This window comes from Homo sapiens, chromosome 8 (assembly GCF_000001405.40).
Source record: "Homo sapiens chromosome 8, GRCh38.p14 Primary Assembly".
In the NCBI taxonomy this organism is placed as follows: Eukaryota; Metazoa; Chordata; class Mammalia; order Primates; family Hominidae; genus Homo; species Homo sapiens.
Genome location: NC_000008.11, coordinates 100,225,029 through 100,242,145, shown reverse-complemented (window position 1 = coordinate 100,242,145; position 17,117 = coordinate 100,225,029). Strand labels below are relative to the sequence as shown.

Sequence of the window (17,117 nt, the reverse complement as noted above, 5' to 3'; positions counted from 1 at the left end):
TTACAGATTTTTCACTTATGAACAAAGAAAGCAGTTTCAAAGAAAAATGGCACAGTTTGAAAGATATTTACCCAAGATGAGTTAAAATATTCTGTAACTATAAAAGATTAGATAAAATAATAATGAATATGGAAATAGTAAACATGATACTAACTTTCATCTTCACTTCTAAGTGAATAAGAAAATGCTCCAGAAAGGGGGAACGCACTACAGACCGCAGAAATAAATGACAGTACACTGATGGAGATTGAAATTCCTTCACTTTGACCCAGTCAACAAAGGAGCTTTCAACATGTATGAGTTCTTCATATTCTTTTACAGTAAAGGAATAAATACAGTCATAAAAGCAGAAAACAAAAAAGGGGGAAGGGGGACATTCAAATGTTTGGTAAAATATGGAGGTAATAATTCAGATATAAATGCAGGCTTAGTTTGCTTTAATACAGTGGTTGGTTTTTTGCTTATATAGGCAATATAAAAGAAAGTAGCTTTTTAAAATCTAGTAAAAAGTGGTAGAAATTTTTGGCAATTTTTGTTCTTAATTATTAGGCAATGCTTCCGTATTAGAAAAAATAAGTTCCTCTTATAGCTCTAAATTAATAAACAATTTAATAATCATTTCATGTTATAGACTTCAGTGTTGCATTTCATTTTAACTGACTGTAATCCACAGGTACTAGTACAAAATGGGATTTATGTGTATCTTAGCAGGATATAAGTGATATAATAATCACTGTTAATGACTTCCACTTTTAAAAAAGAATGTTACAAGAAATTCATTTCTATCAAACTTAAGAGGACTCCTTCATAGCCCAAAGAAATGCAACTTAACTCAAAATTTTAACAAGTAATTAAAATAATATGTATATCATAAATTAAAATGTATTTTTAACAAGTTCTAAATATACTTATTTGGTTCTGGTACATAAGAAAATATTTACAACTAATAAAAAGCAGATTGTAGAATATACATGTTCTATGTAGGAAAATAAGTAAAATGTTTTATAGTGCAGACCAAACTTTTCTAGGCCAAGTTTTATCCATGCAACTCTTTTACAATACCATCTCATTAACATTCCTGGAACACATACATGCATGGAAGAAATCTAACAATTATCTTGATTTAAAGCTCATACTGCCTTTTTAGGGCCTGTATATCTTCTAAAGTAAAATGGTTGTTTGGTGTGTCCGAAAGGTCCTCAAACAGCTGTTCAATTAGCTCCTTTTGGCCCTTGCTAATTAGTGTCAACATCATCTAAAAGAAGCAAAAAAAAAAAAAAACAAAAAACCAACTATGTTAGCATAAGTAACATTTTTAAGTTACAGAAACCCTAATAAAACCAATTTCTACTAATAAAATACTTAGCCACTTACCTTAAACCTTTCTGCTTTACTCAGGTATAAAAGATGCTGATACACCAATGAGGGATCTTTTTCAATAAGATTATTTTTCAGAGACTGAATGAGGAGAAGGAATGTATCCCCTTCAAGTTTGTTACTTAAAAACATCGGCAAATCTTTTGGTGCAGTGATGGCTAAAAGATGTGCACAGGCTTCTTTATCCTTCCTGGTACTGAGAGCATTTATAATCTGACCAAATTCATAGGCATTATTAGGCTTGGCTATCGGAAGTTTCTCAGGGTCTTCTGGTGACCTGCTGCTTTTGCCTCCCTTCTCAGAAGCAAGGCATCCCATGGAGACCTCCCCTGCAGGTCTTCCAGGCTCCTCCTTGCCTTCATTCACCTTCATGAAGAAAAGAAAAATGCATTGTGACACTGAACCACAATCACCACATACATCCTAAGTACGTCTGTCAGAATGAGAATTGAAAACTACAAGTAGACTGTACTGTAGTCCAGTTCCAAGTGAAAACTTTGTAATAATTTTTTTTAGGAAGAGAAGTTTTAGGGTGTAAGATCCAATTCATAAAAGTTTTAAAAAATTATTTGACATTGAAACTATGACAACAAAATTTAATTTTTAGACTTTATACAATTGTTGTATAAATGCCTATGTCAATTTTATCTCCTTTTCACAATAAATTTTAACAGAGAAATGAACTTACATTGCTCGATTCTCCTAAAACAGTTTTTTCTTCCCTCCTTAAAGAGGAAAAAAAACCTTCCTAGCTTCTCTTACATATTAGCCTCTTACTCTTAGTGGAAATGTGAGACTATAAATGGGGTATTAGCATTCATGAATGTACAGGGATTCACAGCCTAACATTCTTCCCTAATATTAGGCAGAGAAAAACATTTTAGTTATCTGAATCACAAAAGCAGTTTGATCCTGAGGTAGTTCGAGATCTCTGATGAGGCAGTCATATTTCAGAGTGCTAAAAAGGTCTGAATCAATCTGGATAATCTCTATGAGGTGAGGCTTTCAGGGCCCCTGTAACAAAATCAGTCCCGTCAGGATTCTCCAGGTCTACCCTGGAGCAAAGTCAGTGGCCGCTGGTTCCCAGTGTACTCTGGAGTGGGAGCAGTACAGATGGAGGCCAAAGAAAGGAAGAACTGCAGTAATGCAGAGACTCCCAGTACCATCCATGGACCCACGTTGGGAAATACAATGGCTAATTATCATTGCAAAGGAGACATTTTGTTGCTGGTTAAAATTTTGTCACTGATCATCAGAATAAAAACACAAAATTAAAAATGTTTTAGAACTCACAGGAATATGACCTTAGAATCCAGTCTAAGGTCCCCAAAGGAGTACTTTCAAAGATAATCAAATACAAATACCTCTTGAATCTCAATTTTCCTTCTCTCCTTTTCTTTGTTGAATGGTGCTGTCTTATCCTTAAGATTAAGGAGTCTAGTTACCTCTTCCAGTTCCATCTTTGCCTCAATAATACTTGGATCTAGTAGGATAACTTTATTGAGATCAATTAAGCTTTTCTGATAATTCTGTAAGTAGGAAGACAGAGAAAATAACTTTCATAAATAGAAGGAGCCTAGAGTAACCTGAGTGGGAGTGGGGTGGATGTAGTGAGCTGTGCAGTATGTGTGCAGGGTCCACATTAATACCACTCTTACAAAGTGAGCCTGTGGGGTGAATATGCAGCTGAAATAGTATAACCCATGATACAGTGAACATCGACTATAGAAGAAAAAGCACAGGATCTGGAGTTAGAAAACGCAAGTTAAATTCTGTATCACCACAACCTTCCCAGTCCCTAACACATGATAAGCACTTGTTGCTTGCTGAATGAATAAATGAAAGAATGAACTCATCCTTGTATTAGCACCTACTAGCAATGAAACTTAAGATCCTACTTAACCTTTCTGGGCTTCAGTCTTCTCATCTTTAACATAAGGGGAACAAAAGCTCTATTCAAATTTTCACAAGGCTGTACCAAGAAATAAATGAACAAATAATAAGTGGCTTAAACCTATAAAGGACTATGCAAATGGTAGTTATTATAATACTTTTGTTCCATAAAATCCTTCCAGGTTGTTTACTCTTCGAATTGGCTAGAGTCAACATTTAATCTTCCATGAGTCACACAATACACTGAAGAAGTTGAGGGAAAGAAAGGGCACCTAACAAGACATGACCACTGAATCTAGCAGCAAAGACAGATGCCCCAAAGTCAGTCTGCTGTGACAAGCTATGTTCTAAACTACAGACTAGACCCATGTTTTGAATAAACCAAACTGTGAAGAGGCAAAGAATTGCAAGGATGTGTAACCTCTTCAAGTATTCATGACACATCAGTAACAGCATGCACAAGAGGCTGAGCACAGATAAGCTGAGCTAGTGATTATGTGACATTCCCGGGGGCCTAGCTGTAATCCCACATGCCTTTCCCCTCCCCTACAGCAACACACCAGAGCAAGAGGGACATATTTAAAGGGATAACCTTAAATCTGCTCTAGTTTATAAAAGTAAATTATTTACAAAGTATAACAAATCTCCAGATACCACTGTCCTAGACCAGCACTGGAACCTTACCGGGGGAAAAATGACACTGTATTTATATCCTAAGCGTTCTAGGCAGGGAGCCATACCTGAAAGGCAAGGGAGTGGAGCAGGAGGGCAAGTTGAGGAAGTAATAAAGGCTGATTCTTACCATTCTAAGCATTTTACAATTATTACTTTACCCTCACAACAGCCCTACAAATATTAACTTCTATTGTTCCCATTTTAAAAATGAAGAATGGGATGGTCACAACAGCAATGACCAGAAGGTGGATGATTACATGGCATGGAGCTCAAGGGAAAGGACTGGAAATAGAGACCTGTGAGCCACAGCCTTGGAAATGGAAGCTCAGCACCCTAGGAGTCAATAGGATCATTTTCATGAATCCGGAAAGTCTCTGCCTAAAGAGCAGCCTGACTGGTTGGAAGAGACATAAGAAAACAAGAAATGCATGTTGACAAGTGTTAGCACTGCAGACAAGCATGAAGAGGGCAGAATGGCAGCAAGGGCATAGACAGAATTGGGCAAGGAGGCAGCTAAGAGGGGGCGAGGCTCATTCACTTCACAGATGGTCTCTGAGCACGTCCATGTGCCAGGAGCTAAGAGGACCACGGAAAAGACAAAGAAAGACAGACTTAAGTTTTACATTTATGGAAGCTTACGTCCTATGAGGGGAAGCAATTAAAAACCTGTAAACAAATGAATAGATAATTACAGACTGTCATTGATGTCATGGAGAAAACTAAAGGTTGAGATGGATACTAACAAGAGAGCCTCCTTTTTCTACAGTTACAGGTGTCAGAGAAGTCAAGACCTGAAGAGAACCCAGCCATGCAGTGTAGAGGGAAGAGCAGAGCTCATAGAAAGTGTGTCCCAGCACTTTGGGAGGCCAAGGTGGGTGGATCACCTGAGGCCAAGAGTTCGAGACCAGCCTGACCAACACAGCTAAACCCCGTCTCTACTAAACATACAAAAATTAGCCAGATGTGGTGGTGCACATCTGTAGTCCCAGCTACTCGGGAGGCTGAAGCAGGAGAATTGCTTGAACTCTGGAGGTGGAGGTTGCAGTGAGCCAAGATCACGCCACTGCACCCCAGCCTGAGTGACAGAGCAAGACTCTGTCTCAAAAATAAACAAATAACAAACAATAACAACAACAAACCAGAAAATGTAGCTTTGACAAGAAAGAAGGCATTAAAAGTTGCTAACCTCATTAGGCCTTTAAAAAGGGATGTATTATAATCACGTGTTTGTGATATTTACCATTAATAGTTTTGCTGAAACCATAAAAGCAATAGTTATTTTATGATATTCTTTTTGATATTTGTATTGATACATAACAATTGTATGTATCATCCTCTACAGCATCCTCTTTTGGGTGGATCTTGCAGCACCCTCTATTGGGTGTAAATTCCCTAAGTAGGCACCATGTCTTTATTCACCTCTATACTCCTAACACCTAGCACATAATTGGCACTCAATAAGAGAAATAAATTGTAAATAAAAGCAAAATGTTCAGTGATCTTTTCTTACAAAGAACAGCTGTACATTAAAGAAAGCTCATATTTTTCAAAGCTGGCACCATTAAAAATAACAAAGTCAGAAAACAAACAGAAGATCTGAGGAAAACATAGAGTTGAGCTGGGAGCTAAAGGCAGGACACCTGCCACCGTGAGCCCCTGTGCCACTTCCTCATTGCAGTCACCCTGGGCAAACAGGCCTGGGCGTGAGTTCTGACACATTCTATAAGCAGTTGTAGCCTTTGAAGATCCTGAAATTAGGCCAAGCATGGTGGCACACATCTGTAATCCTAGCATTTTGAGAGGCCAAAGTGGGAGGATTGCTTGAGGCCAGGGGTTTAACACCAATCCTGGCCAACATAGTGAGACCCTGTCTCTCTTAAACATTTTTTAAAATTCTGAAATTAAATTCACCTGGCACATACCTCAAATTACTGGACAACAAATCAAGCTATAAGCTACCAGCCTCATAATCTAGTGGGATAGGATTACTCAAATTTGGGATTATTTTTCTGCATCATAATATAATTTCTGGAATTCATTCCAAGGAAATAGAAAAGTCCAATGAAGTATTAATGATGATACCCACACAAACTAAAGTCCAGTCTTTCATTAGGGTGCAGCTTCTGACCTTTAGTCAGCTCACCAGGTTCAGAAAGTCAGGCAGCCAGTAAGAGGTAAATGTGCTCCAAGAGTTTGGCCATCTGTAAACTCATGAGCCATACAGATCCTCATTTACCAAATCTACTAAGCTCAAAGAGGTGAGTAAATTTCAAAGGAGTCTCTTTTAATTTGTGGTGCCATACACCATCTAGGAATTTTTTTTACAAGTGAGTGTGTTGCTAACCAAAAAAAAAGAGGGCCGGCGGGGAGGCATGTGTTAGGGTCACATGGACACTGTGTGGCTCCCTCAGCATGGGGCGGGGGTCACAGGGCAGCACGGGGGTCCTGGCGGGACATGCACGCTGACTGCACTGCAGCCAGAGTGGATCTACAATCTGGAAAAGGTGGCCATTCAGTGCACCTGGGTGGTCCTCATTTGCTATATTATGCAACATGACTGCTCTTCTCCCTGCAGAACCTAGATAGTTCCCTTTCAGTCATGGGCACGGAATTAAAACAACTATCTCAGACTCAATCAGTCAAAACAATCCTCTCCCCACTCCCAAACTGCCCCGCTCCTGAATGCTCCCCATTATCACACCACTACCCTCAGCCACCCAGCCAGAACCTGGGAGGCATCCCCTCCATCACTTCCCCTAGACATTTGACTGCTATGTCAACTTTACCATAAACCCTTGAATTGGCCCCTTCCCTTCTGTTATGGGCTGAACTACGTCCCCACAGAAAGTCCTGTGTTGAAGTTCTAACCTCCAGTACCTCAAAATGTAACCATATTTGGAGACAGGGCCTTTAAAGAGGTAATCAAGTTAAAATCAGTAGGCCCTACCTAGTCCAAGATGACTGTGTCTTTATAAAAAGAGAAGATTTGGGCACACACACACAGAGGGAAGGCCACATGGAGACCCAGGGAGAGGACAGCAACTGTAAGCCAGAGACATAGGCCTCTGAAGAGACCACCCCTATTAACACCGCAAGCTGAGACTTCCCACCTCCAGAATAGATTTCTGTTGTTCAGGCCACCCAGTCTATGGCGCTTTGTTATAGCAGCCACAGCAGCTAACATACTTCTCCCTTTCCTTGGACATTACTTTCCTTCAGGTACCTGCTTCTCACCTTGGTGATCTCTCACTTACCTTCCTCCTCATCCTGGGCCCCTCTTATCAACCTTCCATGAGGTCCCCAAATCTGATCCATTACACCACCATTTACCCTGCTCTGGAGGCTCCATCACCTTCAGAATTAAGTCCAGCCTCCTCAGCATGGCCTACCAAGCCCCTCAGGATCTGACCATCTCCCTCTATCCCCACTCCTAGTCACATCTGGCCTCCAGCTGTACAGTTTGTAAACAAGTCCATCCATTAAAAATGTACACAAGAATGTCACAGCAGCCTTATTCCTAACAGCCCCAAACTGGAAACAACCTAAGTGTCATCAACTGGTGAATATATACACAAATTGTGATATATTCATACAACACGGTGATAAAAAGGAACAGTTCCTGATACCCACACAATATAAACAAATCTCAGGTTATGCTGAAAGAAGCCAAACAGTAGAGTCCATTCTATATGATTTATGGTAATGTCCAAAACAATCAAAACTAATCTATAGTGATAGAAATCAGATGAATGGCTGCCTGAGGGTAGGGGTGGAGGGAGGAAGATTTATTGTACAGGGGCACAGAGAACTTTCTAGAAAGATGAAAATGTTATTTTTTTTTAGCACACACCACCTTCAGAAGAAAATGTTCTTTATCTCGATTGGGATATTGGCTACAAGAGGATATGCACATACCAAAAGTCAATGACCTGCACAATTACAATGTATGAACTTCATTGTATTACACCTTAATAAAATTGAGCTTAAAAAATTATTTCAGGAAGTACTATTTTCCAATATGTTCTGGTTTTTCCTTGTGATGTTATTTTCTATAAATATGAACATTCATTCCTCAGGATTTCCATGCAGAAGAATCTGTGTGAAGAAAAGTGGAATGATACAATATCCACTTTCTTCTAAACTAATGGCATGGTTTTCTTAGAGAAGAATGGCATTTTACAGATTTACACTGACCATCAGCTGGCTTAAGGCCCAGATCACTATAAGCTTTCAAGTCTCCGATGTGTCTCTCCCAACTTCCGCTGGGTCACCCATCTTCTATTCTGATGCCTTCCCCACCCAACCTCCAACAGCAATCCTTGCCGGAGGAACCAGCAGCATTACTGCTAGTTTCGGTAATTCAGTACCAAACCTTCCTCTATCTTAAAATGAACCTACTATAACTAACAATATTCCTCAGAAAACTAGAGAATAAATCATTATTTTGGAGCTGGAAGGAATCTTAGAAGCAATCTAGTTTCACATTATGGTTAGGGGTGAAATCTGAGGCCTCTATCAAGGTTTTAGAACTGGTTAGTACAGTTCTAGGATTAAATCCAAGAATAACCTCAATCCCATCCCAAGATCTGGAGATTTATGCTTGTGAAAACCACTTGATTTGTTCAGAGCTGAAGTTTATGCATTAAAATGAAGATTTCCTCACCTTGAGTCCTTTATGAGCCAGAGCTCGTCTATAGAAGGCTTTCACGTTCCCATCAGCTAGCTGAAGTGCCTGATCACAGTCCTGCTTTGCTTCTTCAAACTGGCACAGCTTCAAGTAACAGAGAGCTCTGGCATAATGCAATGGAACTCAGTATTATGAAAGGTAAAGATTGGCTATCTGTAAGTTTTAGACAGCTAAGAAAAATCAGAAAATAGCTCAATATGTCTGTTGCTATACCACTGCGGTTTCCATTGAAACTTAACATTTGATTCAATTATGGCACTGGGCATACAACCGCAAACAAAATACAGTCACAGCCCTCAAGGAGGATGCAATCAAGTGGAAGAGACAGACCATTAAAACAAGCAAACACAATAAAATCTGTGCAAAGTACTCTGGGAGCACACAGCTGAGAACTACATCAGATTCAGTGGGGCTGAGACAAGGCGCAGAGCAGGCAGGGAAGACTTCCTGGAAGAAGTGACATTTAAGTTGAAATCCAGAGTATGAAGTTAAGAATTATCCAATGCAAATGCACTGGGTTGAGAAAGTTCAGATGGAGGTAGCGGGGAGTGGAGGCCAAGGACACAGCGAGTGCACAGACCTGCACCTACAGTGGAAGAGAATATGGTGTTCCTGAAGAATTAAGAAGAGTTCCATATGGCTGGAATGCAGGGATGAGGCTGGAAGAGCAGGCAGGCCAGATCACGAAGGGCACTGTAAGTCATGGAAGGAAGTTGAGCTTTATAAACTGAGCTTAATGGAAGTCCGATGAAGGGTTTTTAATAGGGGCTGACACATTTGCCATGTTTTAGACAGTCCCTCTGGCTACAGCTTGGAGAATGAGATGATGGAACAAAGCTGTGCAAGGACACCATAAGGGTGCTGCAGACATTTAGGAGGAGAGGACAGTGGCCCAGAGCAAGGGAATGACAGGGGGATGGTGGCAAGGAGACAGAAAGGGTCACACTGAAGATGGATTTGGGATTTAGAAGGTAGGAGCATCTGAGCTTGCTGACTGGAAGAGGGAGGTAGGGGATGATATCCAGCCCTGAGTGCAGAAGAGATGGGGAGCGCTTCAGTCTGGAGCTCAGAAGACAGAGATTTGGAAGACATCATTGTAAGGTGGTGAGTGGACCTGGGGAGAGGATGGAATGGCCTCTAGAGTACGTAGAAAGGAAAAAGGATCTAGACCCTCAGAACTATGAGAATTCTAGGGAAAGAAAAGCCTACAGAAGGAGAGGGAGAGGACGAGAACCAGGCAATGAGCTGCCAGCCTCCTCCTCCGCAGCCAAGAGGAGGAGGAGTCTTCACAGAAAACTGAGTGACCAATAATGCCCGATCCTACAGAGGCTGAACAGAAGGGCAGAAAAACATCTGTTGGATTTAGTGACATCTTTTGTCCAATATTCTATCACCATATTCTATATAGGTATCTTTTACTACGTGGTAAAGACGGTACCTGAGCAACAATCTGCCCATTCCTGCTGCACGCTATAAATGACGCTGGTGCCTTCCCGCAGCACTTCAGAAGGAAAAGGGCATTCTCCCTAAGACAGTATTTTTTTTTTTTTTTGAGACAGAGTCTTGCTCTTTCACCCAGGCCAGACTGCAGTGGTGCTATCTCGGCTCACTGCAAGCTCTGCCTCCCGGGTTCACGCCATTCTCCTGCCTCAGCCTCCGGAGTAGCTGGGACTACAGGTGCCTGCCGCTGCGCCTGGCTAATTTTTTTTTGTATTTTTAGTAGAGACGGGGTTTCACCGTGTTAGCCAGGATGGTCTCGATCTCCTGACCTCGTGATCCACCCGCCTCGGCCTCCCAAAGTGCTGGGATTATGGGCGTGAGCCACCGTGCCCAGCCAAGACACTATTTTGAAAGGCCATTGATTCCTGCTCCTCCCACACTGGACAATGCCCAGGCCCAGCTAGCTGCAACGAGGCCGGCAAGCCAGGAAATGCCGAATCAGAGTTGCACAAGCCAAAGCAGCCATGGTCGCTTTTGGGAACCTGGTGGCACAAACTATGTCAGACCTCCCATCCCGCCCACACCTCAGGCTTCCAGTCTCTGTAGAACTCCCACGGCCTCACCTCTTTCAGACACACTTGGTTAGGACAGCTTGCTATAGAAATTCTTAGAACCATCACAAAAAACTTTGGCAATTACTTAATTGTGTTAATAAAATAACTTAAAATATTTTTAATAATCAAAACTATTAACATAAGAAATATATAAAGTTACAAAGAACTTGCCTGTTTGTATATATGGCACATTCCTTATTGTTAATCTTTAAGCATTCGCTGTATTTACTGAGGGCGTCTTTATAGTTTTTGTCATTTACACATTGATTTCCTTCTTCCTTAAGGGCTTTAAATGTTTTTTCATCTATGGGACAAAAAAACAAAGAAGAGGAAGTATCTGTACAAGCACCTCTATAAAATCTTAAGTACAACTATAAGTAAATCTTCTATTGCAAATTAACTTGACCACACAGCATGCAGGGTGAAAATCTAACTAGAACAAAACTTTGTAGACAAATTAAAATGACAAATAGGCTATAAGTAAAAATAATTATATAATTATGATACTATTATTTTCTAATTAGAAAATAAGATACAAGTGCCGGGTGCAGTGGCTCACACCTGTAATCTCAGCACTTTGGGAGGCCGAGGCGGGCGGATCACCTGAGGTCAGGAGTTCAAGACCACCTTGACCAACATGGAAACTCCATCTTAACTAAAAATATAAAATTAGCTGGGCGTAGTGGCACATGCCTGTAATCCTAGCTACTCGGGAGGCTGAGGCAGGAGAAGTGCTTGAACCTGGGAGGCAGAGGTTGTGGTGAGCCAAGATCATGCCGTTGCACTCTAGCCTGGGCAACAAGAGCGAAACCCCATCTCAAAAAAATAAAATAAGATACAAGTAATAATTCTGTCATGTTATCCATCTTGACATGCCATCTTTTCTCTACTGGGATTCTAAAGACAGTAACAGAGGCCAGAACCACCTTAGAGATGGAGAGAATTAAGCAAACAATGCTAACAGGGCTCAGGTGACTATATGACAAGAGGCAGAGTCTCCAATAAGGCTGCACATGTGAACTAGCAACCCTCACAGTGTTTTCTGTCATCTCCATCTATGCTGCCTCACACAGCGCTTTTACAGTGGTACACGAGCACTTCAGACCTCTGGTTAAGCTTGGATACGACAGAACCAGTCAATGAAATGGGATACAAATATCCACAGTGTTTTGCTTGGCAATTATTTTGTGAATAGTGAACACTCCTCTTAAAGCCTGAAGTGGACATCTATCCGGCACCCCAAATTTCCTTGGGAAATCATATCTCTTTCATTCTGTGCTCCTTTGGTTTAAGTGAAGCAAACCTCACTCCAGCCCTAACCTTTGGGATAATCATTTTATTAATCAGCACATCATGGTCCTATGGCCATAGTAATCCAATTGTTCAGGGATGAGTCTATAAGAGCTGATAAAATGTTTTGCAAGGTTCTTGTAAAATAAATCTTTTTCTTTCCTGTGGGATTTAAGGCTCAAAGGAGGAGCTATTTTTCCATCTTGTGATAAAAAGGGATGATGTGAAAATGGGGCCATCAGAGCAAGGAAGAGGCCAAGATGGAGAGCTGGAGTCTCTGAGTCCTGAATCCAGCCATCCCTGCAGCCACTCCACCTGTGGATATGTCTATAGTAAGTGCCCATAAACAGCTTTTTGCTTACTTGAGGCATTATAAGTTGGGCTTTCTGTTATCTACAATCAGAGTCTGAACTGCTCATTACCAGAATTACACACTATCCCTATTATCTTGCAGTGAACATGGCTGATACCCTGCTCAGAATCTGTTTCCAGGACCTCAATATTCATTCAGCTATCACCCCTCTCCTATTCAGACCACGTGTTCAGGGGAGGCTGACCTCACTGATCAAAACCCCAGGTCTAAGCCATTCAGTGCGTGGGGTGTTTCCTCATAAAAGAGACTGGCTCAGGGATGGGCACATGGCCCAATTCAGATGAACAGAATAACAGATTAAAAAGCCTGGGCCTTGGGGAAATGTACTTCCTCATTCTTTTGTTTTTTTTTGTTTTGTTTTGTTTTGTTTTTTGAGACGGAGTCTCGCTCTGTCGCCCGGGCTGGAGTGCGGTGGGTGGCGCAATCTCAGCTCACTGCAAGCTCCACCTGCCGGGTTCACGCCATTCTCCTGCCTCAGCCTCCCATGTAGCTGGGACTATAGGCACCCACCACCACGCCCGGCTAATTTTTGTATTTTAGTAGAGATGGGGTTTCACTGTGTTAGCCAGGATGGTCTCCATCTCCTGACCTCGTGATCCTCGAGGATCCCAAAGTGCTGCCTCGGCCTCCCAAAGTGCTGTGATTACAGGCGTGAGCCACCACGCCCGGCCTACTTCCTCATTCTTAATGCCATCAAAATCAATGGTTTCTCTCTCTCTTTGGACACTGATATGTGCAGATGTAAAGCCTAAAACTGCTACAGTTCTATTGTTTCCTGCTACAGCCTAAGTCTTAATGAGTTGAGCCTGATTTACAGCCTGTCTGGGCCCTTTCAGTGACACAAGCCAAGACCATCCCTTACACTTTAAGTCAACAGATTTTCTGTTACTTACAACCAAGTTTTCAAACATACACAAAATATTAAAATTTAAAGTTTTAAACCTAGGTAATAAGTTTATCCTATGGAATAATTTGATATATAATAAAAATCCATAAATTAAAATTTAAAATATACCTTTAAATTTTGTAATCTTAAAATCTTCTGATAGATAAATTTATTATTTTATTATTATTATTCTTTTTTGAGATGGGGTCTGGCTCTGTCGCCCAGGCTAGAGTGCAGTGGTGCAATCTCGGCTCACCACAACCTCTGCCTTCTGGACTCAAGCCATCCTTTCACCTCAGCCTCCCAAGCAGCTGGGACTACAGGGGCATGCTACCATGCTCAGCTAATTTTTGTATTTTTAGTAGAGACAGGGTTTTGCCATGTTGCCTAGTCTGGTCTCAAACTCCTGAGCTCTGGCGATCTGCCCACCTCAGCCTCCAAAAGTGCTGGGATTACAGGTGTGAGCCACCGCACCCAGCCAATTTTTTTTTTTTTTTTTTGGTAGAGATGGGGGTCTTGCTTTGTTTCACAGGCTGGTCTTGGACTCTTGGCCTCAAGTGATCCTCCTGCCATGGCCTCCCAAACTACTGGGATTACTGCCAAGAGCCACCATGCCCAGCCCCCTAAATTTATAATATAAACTCAGAATGTAAACAATAATCTTATTTGTCCCTCTGCACAAATTGTATAAAATGCTAGTTTACTTTTCATCTTCTATTTCAAATCACAGAATATTTCTGCCCATGTTTCATGTTTCAAAAGATCTCACATAGCCTAGGCTACTCACACCTGTTAGCCCAGAACTTTCAGAGGTTGAGGCAGAAGGATTACTTGAGCCCAGGAATTCGAGACCAGCCTGGGCAACATAATGAGATCCTGTCTCTATAAAAAATACAAAATTAGCCAGACACGGTGGCACACACCTGTAGTCCCAGCTACTCAGGACTGAGGTGGGAAGACTGCCTGAACCCAGGAGGTCGAGGCAGCAGTGAGCCAAAATTGCACCACTGCACCCCAGCCTGCGCAACAGAGCAAGATCCTGTCTCAAAAAAAAAAAAAAAAAAAAAAATCTGACACAATAGGGTCAAATGGTACTTTCCCAATCCTGGTATATAAACCCTGAAATAGAATATTAGGGAAGATTTTGCTGAAAAATTTTCCTCAAGCTTTTATCCTCCAGTGTCTTTAAACCTTTGGTATCCATTCTCACTATCAATCAGTAAACAAATATGGACAGAAAAATTCAAACACAGCTGATTATACTTGTGCTATGGTTTGCTAACTCACAGCTATATATGCATTTTGTTAATAAGAAGTAGCTCTTATTTACTGAACAAATGCTTTGTGTCAGGCCCTATTAATAATGGACTCTAGAAAACTACAGATCTCCATAATTTCCCTAGGACTGCTAGATCATCTACTTGGCAGATATTCCCTGTCTGCTCTTTCTTGGCAATAAAGAAAATGAGGGTCCAACACTAGCCATCTGGACATCATGGGTCAGGAACCTCAGGGCATCTGCAAGATGAAGCACAGCCTGGGGACACATATGGAGTTTCTAAGCTTTGTGGGAGAAATGGGGCCTCAGCTGGCTTTAAAGCAGAAAGCAAGGGTGAAGTCACATTTATTAAATGCTTACTTACTACACTCAAAGTAATAATGTAGGCACTAAGGGAATACAAATTTTTTAACAACTACAATAAAGACAGAAGGAAGCACCTGCATTACACAGCCATGCATCACTCAACAATGGATACATTCTGCGAAATTTGTCGTTGGGCAATTTCGCTATTGTGCAAACATCATAGAGTGTGGTTACACAAACCTAGATGGTATAGCCTACCATATATCCAGGCTGTATGGTGTAAGCTAATGCTCCTAGGCTACAAACCTGTAACAGCATGTTACTGTACTGAATACTGTGGGCAACTGTAACACAATGGTATTTGTGTATCTAAACACAGAAAAGGTACAGTAAGAGTATAGTACCTTTACAGTAAAAACACAGTAAAGTTACAGTATATAATCTTATGGGATCACTGTCATATATGTGCTCCATTGTTGATTGAAATACCATTATGAGCACATGATTATATTTATGTTGTGGGGCTTTACTTTATTATTTTAAACATATCAGTCTTATTCCTTTAGCCTCATCACATACAGGGTCTACTGTAGAGCTACATGTTATTTAAATTTTTTTTTTTTGAGACAGCATCTTATTCTGTCACCCAGGCTGGAGTGCAGTGACACCATCACAGCTCACTGCAGCCTCAACCTTCCTGGGCTCGGGATCCTCCCACCTCAGCCTCCCAAGTAGCTGGGACTATAGGCATGCACCACCACGCTTGGCTAATTCTTCTATTTTTTTGTAGAGATAGGGTTTCGCCATATTGCCCCGGCTGGTCTTGAACTCCTGGGCTCAAGTGATCCACTTGCCTCCCAAAGTGCTGGGATTACAGGAGTGACCCACTGCACCTGGCCTTCTTAGTTAACAATGTTTAAGAGGTTACTACAGGTTTACAAAGTCAGAATATACTATTTTATATACACATCTCCATTTATTTCTGACAACCTCCTTGTGAGACATTTATTAATACATTCCCCTGCCTTAAACCACGCATGGTGGCTCATGCCTATAATCCCAGCACTTTGGGAGGCTGAGCCAGGAGAATCACTTTAGCCCTGGAATTTGAGACCAGCATGGGCAACATAGGGAGACTCCGTCTCTACTAAAAATACAAAAATTAGCCGTGCGTGGTGGCAGGCACCTGTAATCTCAGCTACTCGGGAGGCTGAGGCAGGAGAATCGCTTGAACCTGGGAGGTGGAGGTTGCAGTGAGCCGAGGTCACACCACTGCACTCTAGCCTGGACATCAAAGTGAGACTCCACCAAAAAAAAAAAAAAAAAACTAGCTGGCATGGTGGTGTGCACCTGTGGTTCCAGCTACTCAGTAGGCTGAGGCAGGAGTATTGCTTGAGCTTAGGAGGTCGAGACTGCAGTGAACCGTGATTGCGCCACTGGACTCCACCCTGGGTGACAGAGCAAGCCCCTGTCTCAAAACAAAACAAAACAAAAAACGCTTTTACATGTATACTAGTAGGACACAGGAGGTATGTAGCAACTTCTTAAGACCATGTAGTTTTAAAGAGGGAGAACATAATTCCAGCACTTTGGGAGGCCAAAGCAGGCAGATCATTTGAGGTCAGGAGTTTGAGACCAGCCTGGCCAACATGGTGAAACCCTGTCTCTACTAAAGACAAACAAAAAAAAACCCACTAAAATTAGCCAGGTGTGGTGGTACATGCCTGTAATCCCAGCTACTCAGGAGGCTGAGGCAGGAGAATTGCTTGAACCCAGGAAGCAGAGCCAAGATCGCACCACTGCACTCCAGCCTGGGCAACAGAGCAAGACCCTGTCTCAAAATAATAATAAAATAGGGAGAACAGGGACTTCACTTAAACCTAGGTCTGATTCTAGAATTAATGCTCTTATCTCTCTGCTTTACTGTGAAAGTACACACACAACTCAAGGTAACCTTGAGAAGAAATGAGTGCAGGCATCCCCCACCTGTGATGCCCTGCTGGCGATGGCTGCTGGAGTCTCCTGCTTGTTTTGAGATCATCTCTTTTGCCGGATGCCAAGCTTGCAGTGGCACAGAAGCAGGCACAGCAGGAATAGGTGACAGCTTCTCCCGCCAATTTGGTCCATCCAGCTCCATTAAAATTCTTGATAGCCTAAAGAGAAAGTGAATTTTCTCTGTTGATCATTTAGTTTGCTTTTTATATTACTGAAGGTCAGATTAAGAATAAAATTTGCAAATGCTATGCAAATGTGTACTTCCTTGTAGAAAACATGCAATCCTGAGCATTTTCTGTCCG

General features: G+C 41.7%; 1 protein-coding gene across 10 annotated transcripts in view, besides 1 other annotated feature; it reads right to left on the bottom strand.

The window, feature by feature from the left end:
• SPAG1 (sperm associated antigen 1) overlaps positions 242-17,117 on the bottom strand; it is an 83,867-nt gene continuing 66,991 nt past the window's right edge. For 6 of the 10 annotated variants that reach the window (XM_047422128.1, NM_001374321.1, NM_172218.3 and 3 more), the window contains 6 exons: positions 16,807-16,973; positions 10,858-10,990; positions 8,609-8,735; positions 2,742-2,906; positions 1,375-1,743; positions 242-1,255 (listed from right to left, as the gene is read on the bottom strand). In XM_047422128.1, coding sequence (XP_047278084.1) covers positions 1,124-1,255; positions 1,375-1,743; positions 2,742-2,906; positions 8,609-8,735; positions 10,858-10,990; positions 16,807-16,973 — 1,093 coding nt within the window. In that variant the 3' untranslated portion in view covers positions 242-1,123. Of the gene's footprint in view, positions 1,256-1,374; positions 1,744-2,741; positions 2,907-8,608; positions 8,736-10,857; positions 10,991-16,803; positions 16,974-17,117 lie in introns of those variants that run through there. The other 4 variants (XM_011517241.3, XM_047422129.1, XM_047422130.1 and 1 more) reach the window with 4 other exon arrangements.
• Positions 12,901-12,950: an enhancer, noted in NCBI's record as "active region_27686". NCBI's record gives its function as "activates an Ori minimal core promoter by ATAC-STARR-seq in GM12878 lymphoblastoid cells {active_cell/tissue: GM12878}" and the evidence as "EXISTENCE:reporter gene assay evidence [ECO:0000049][PMID:35858748]".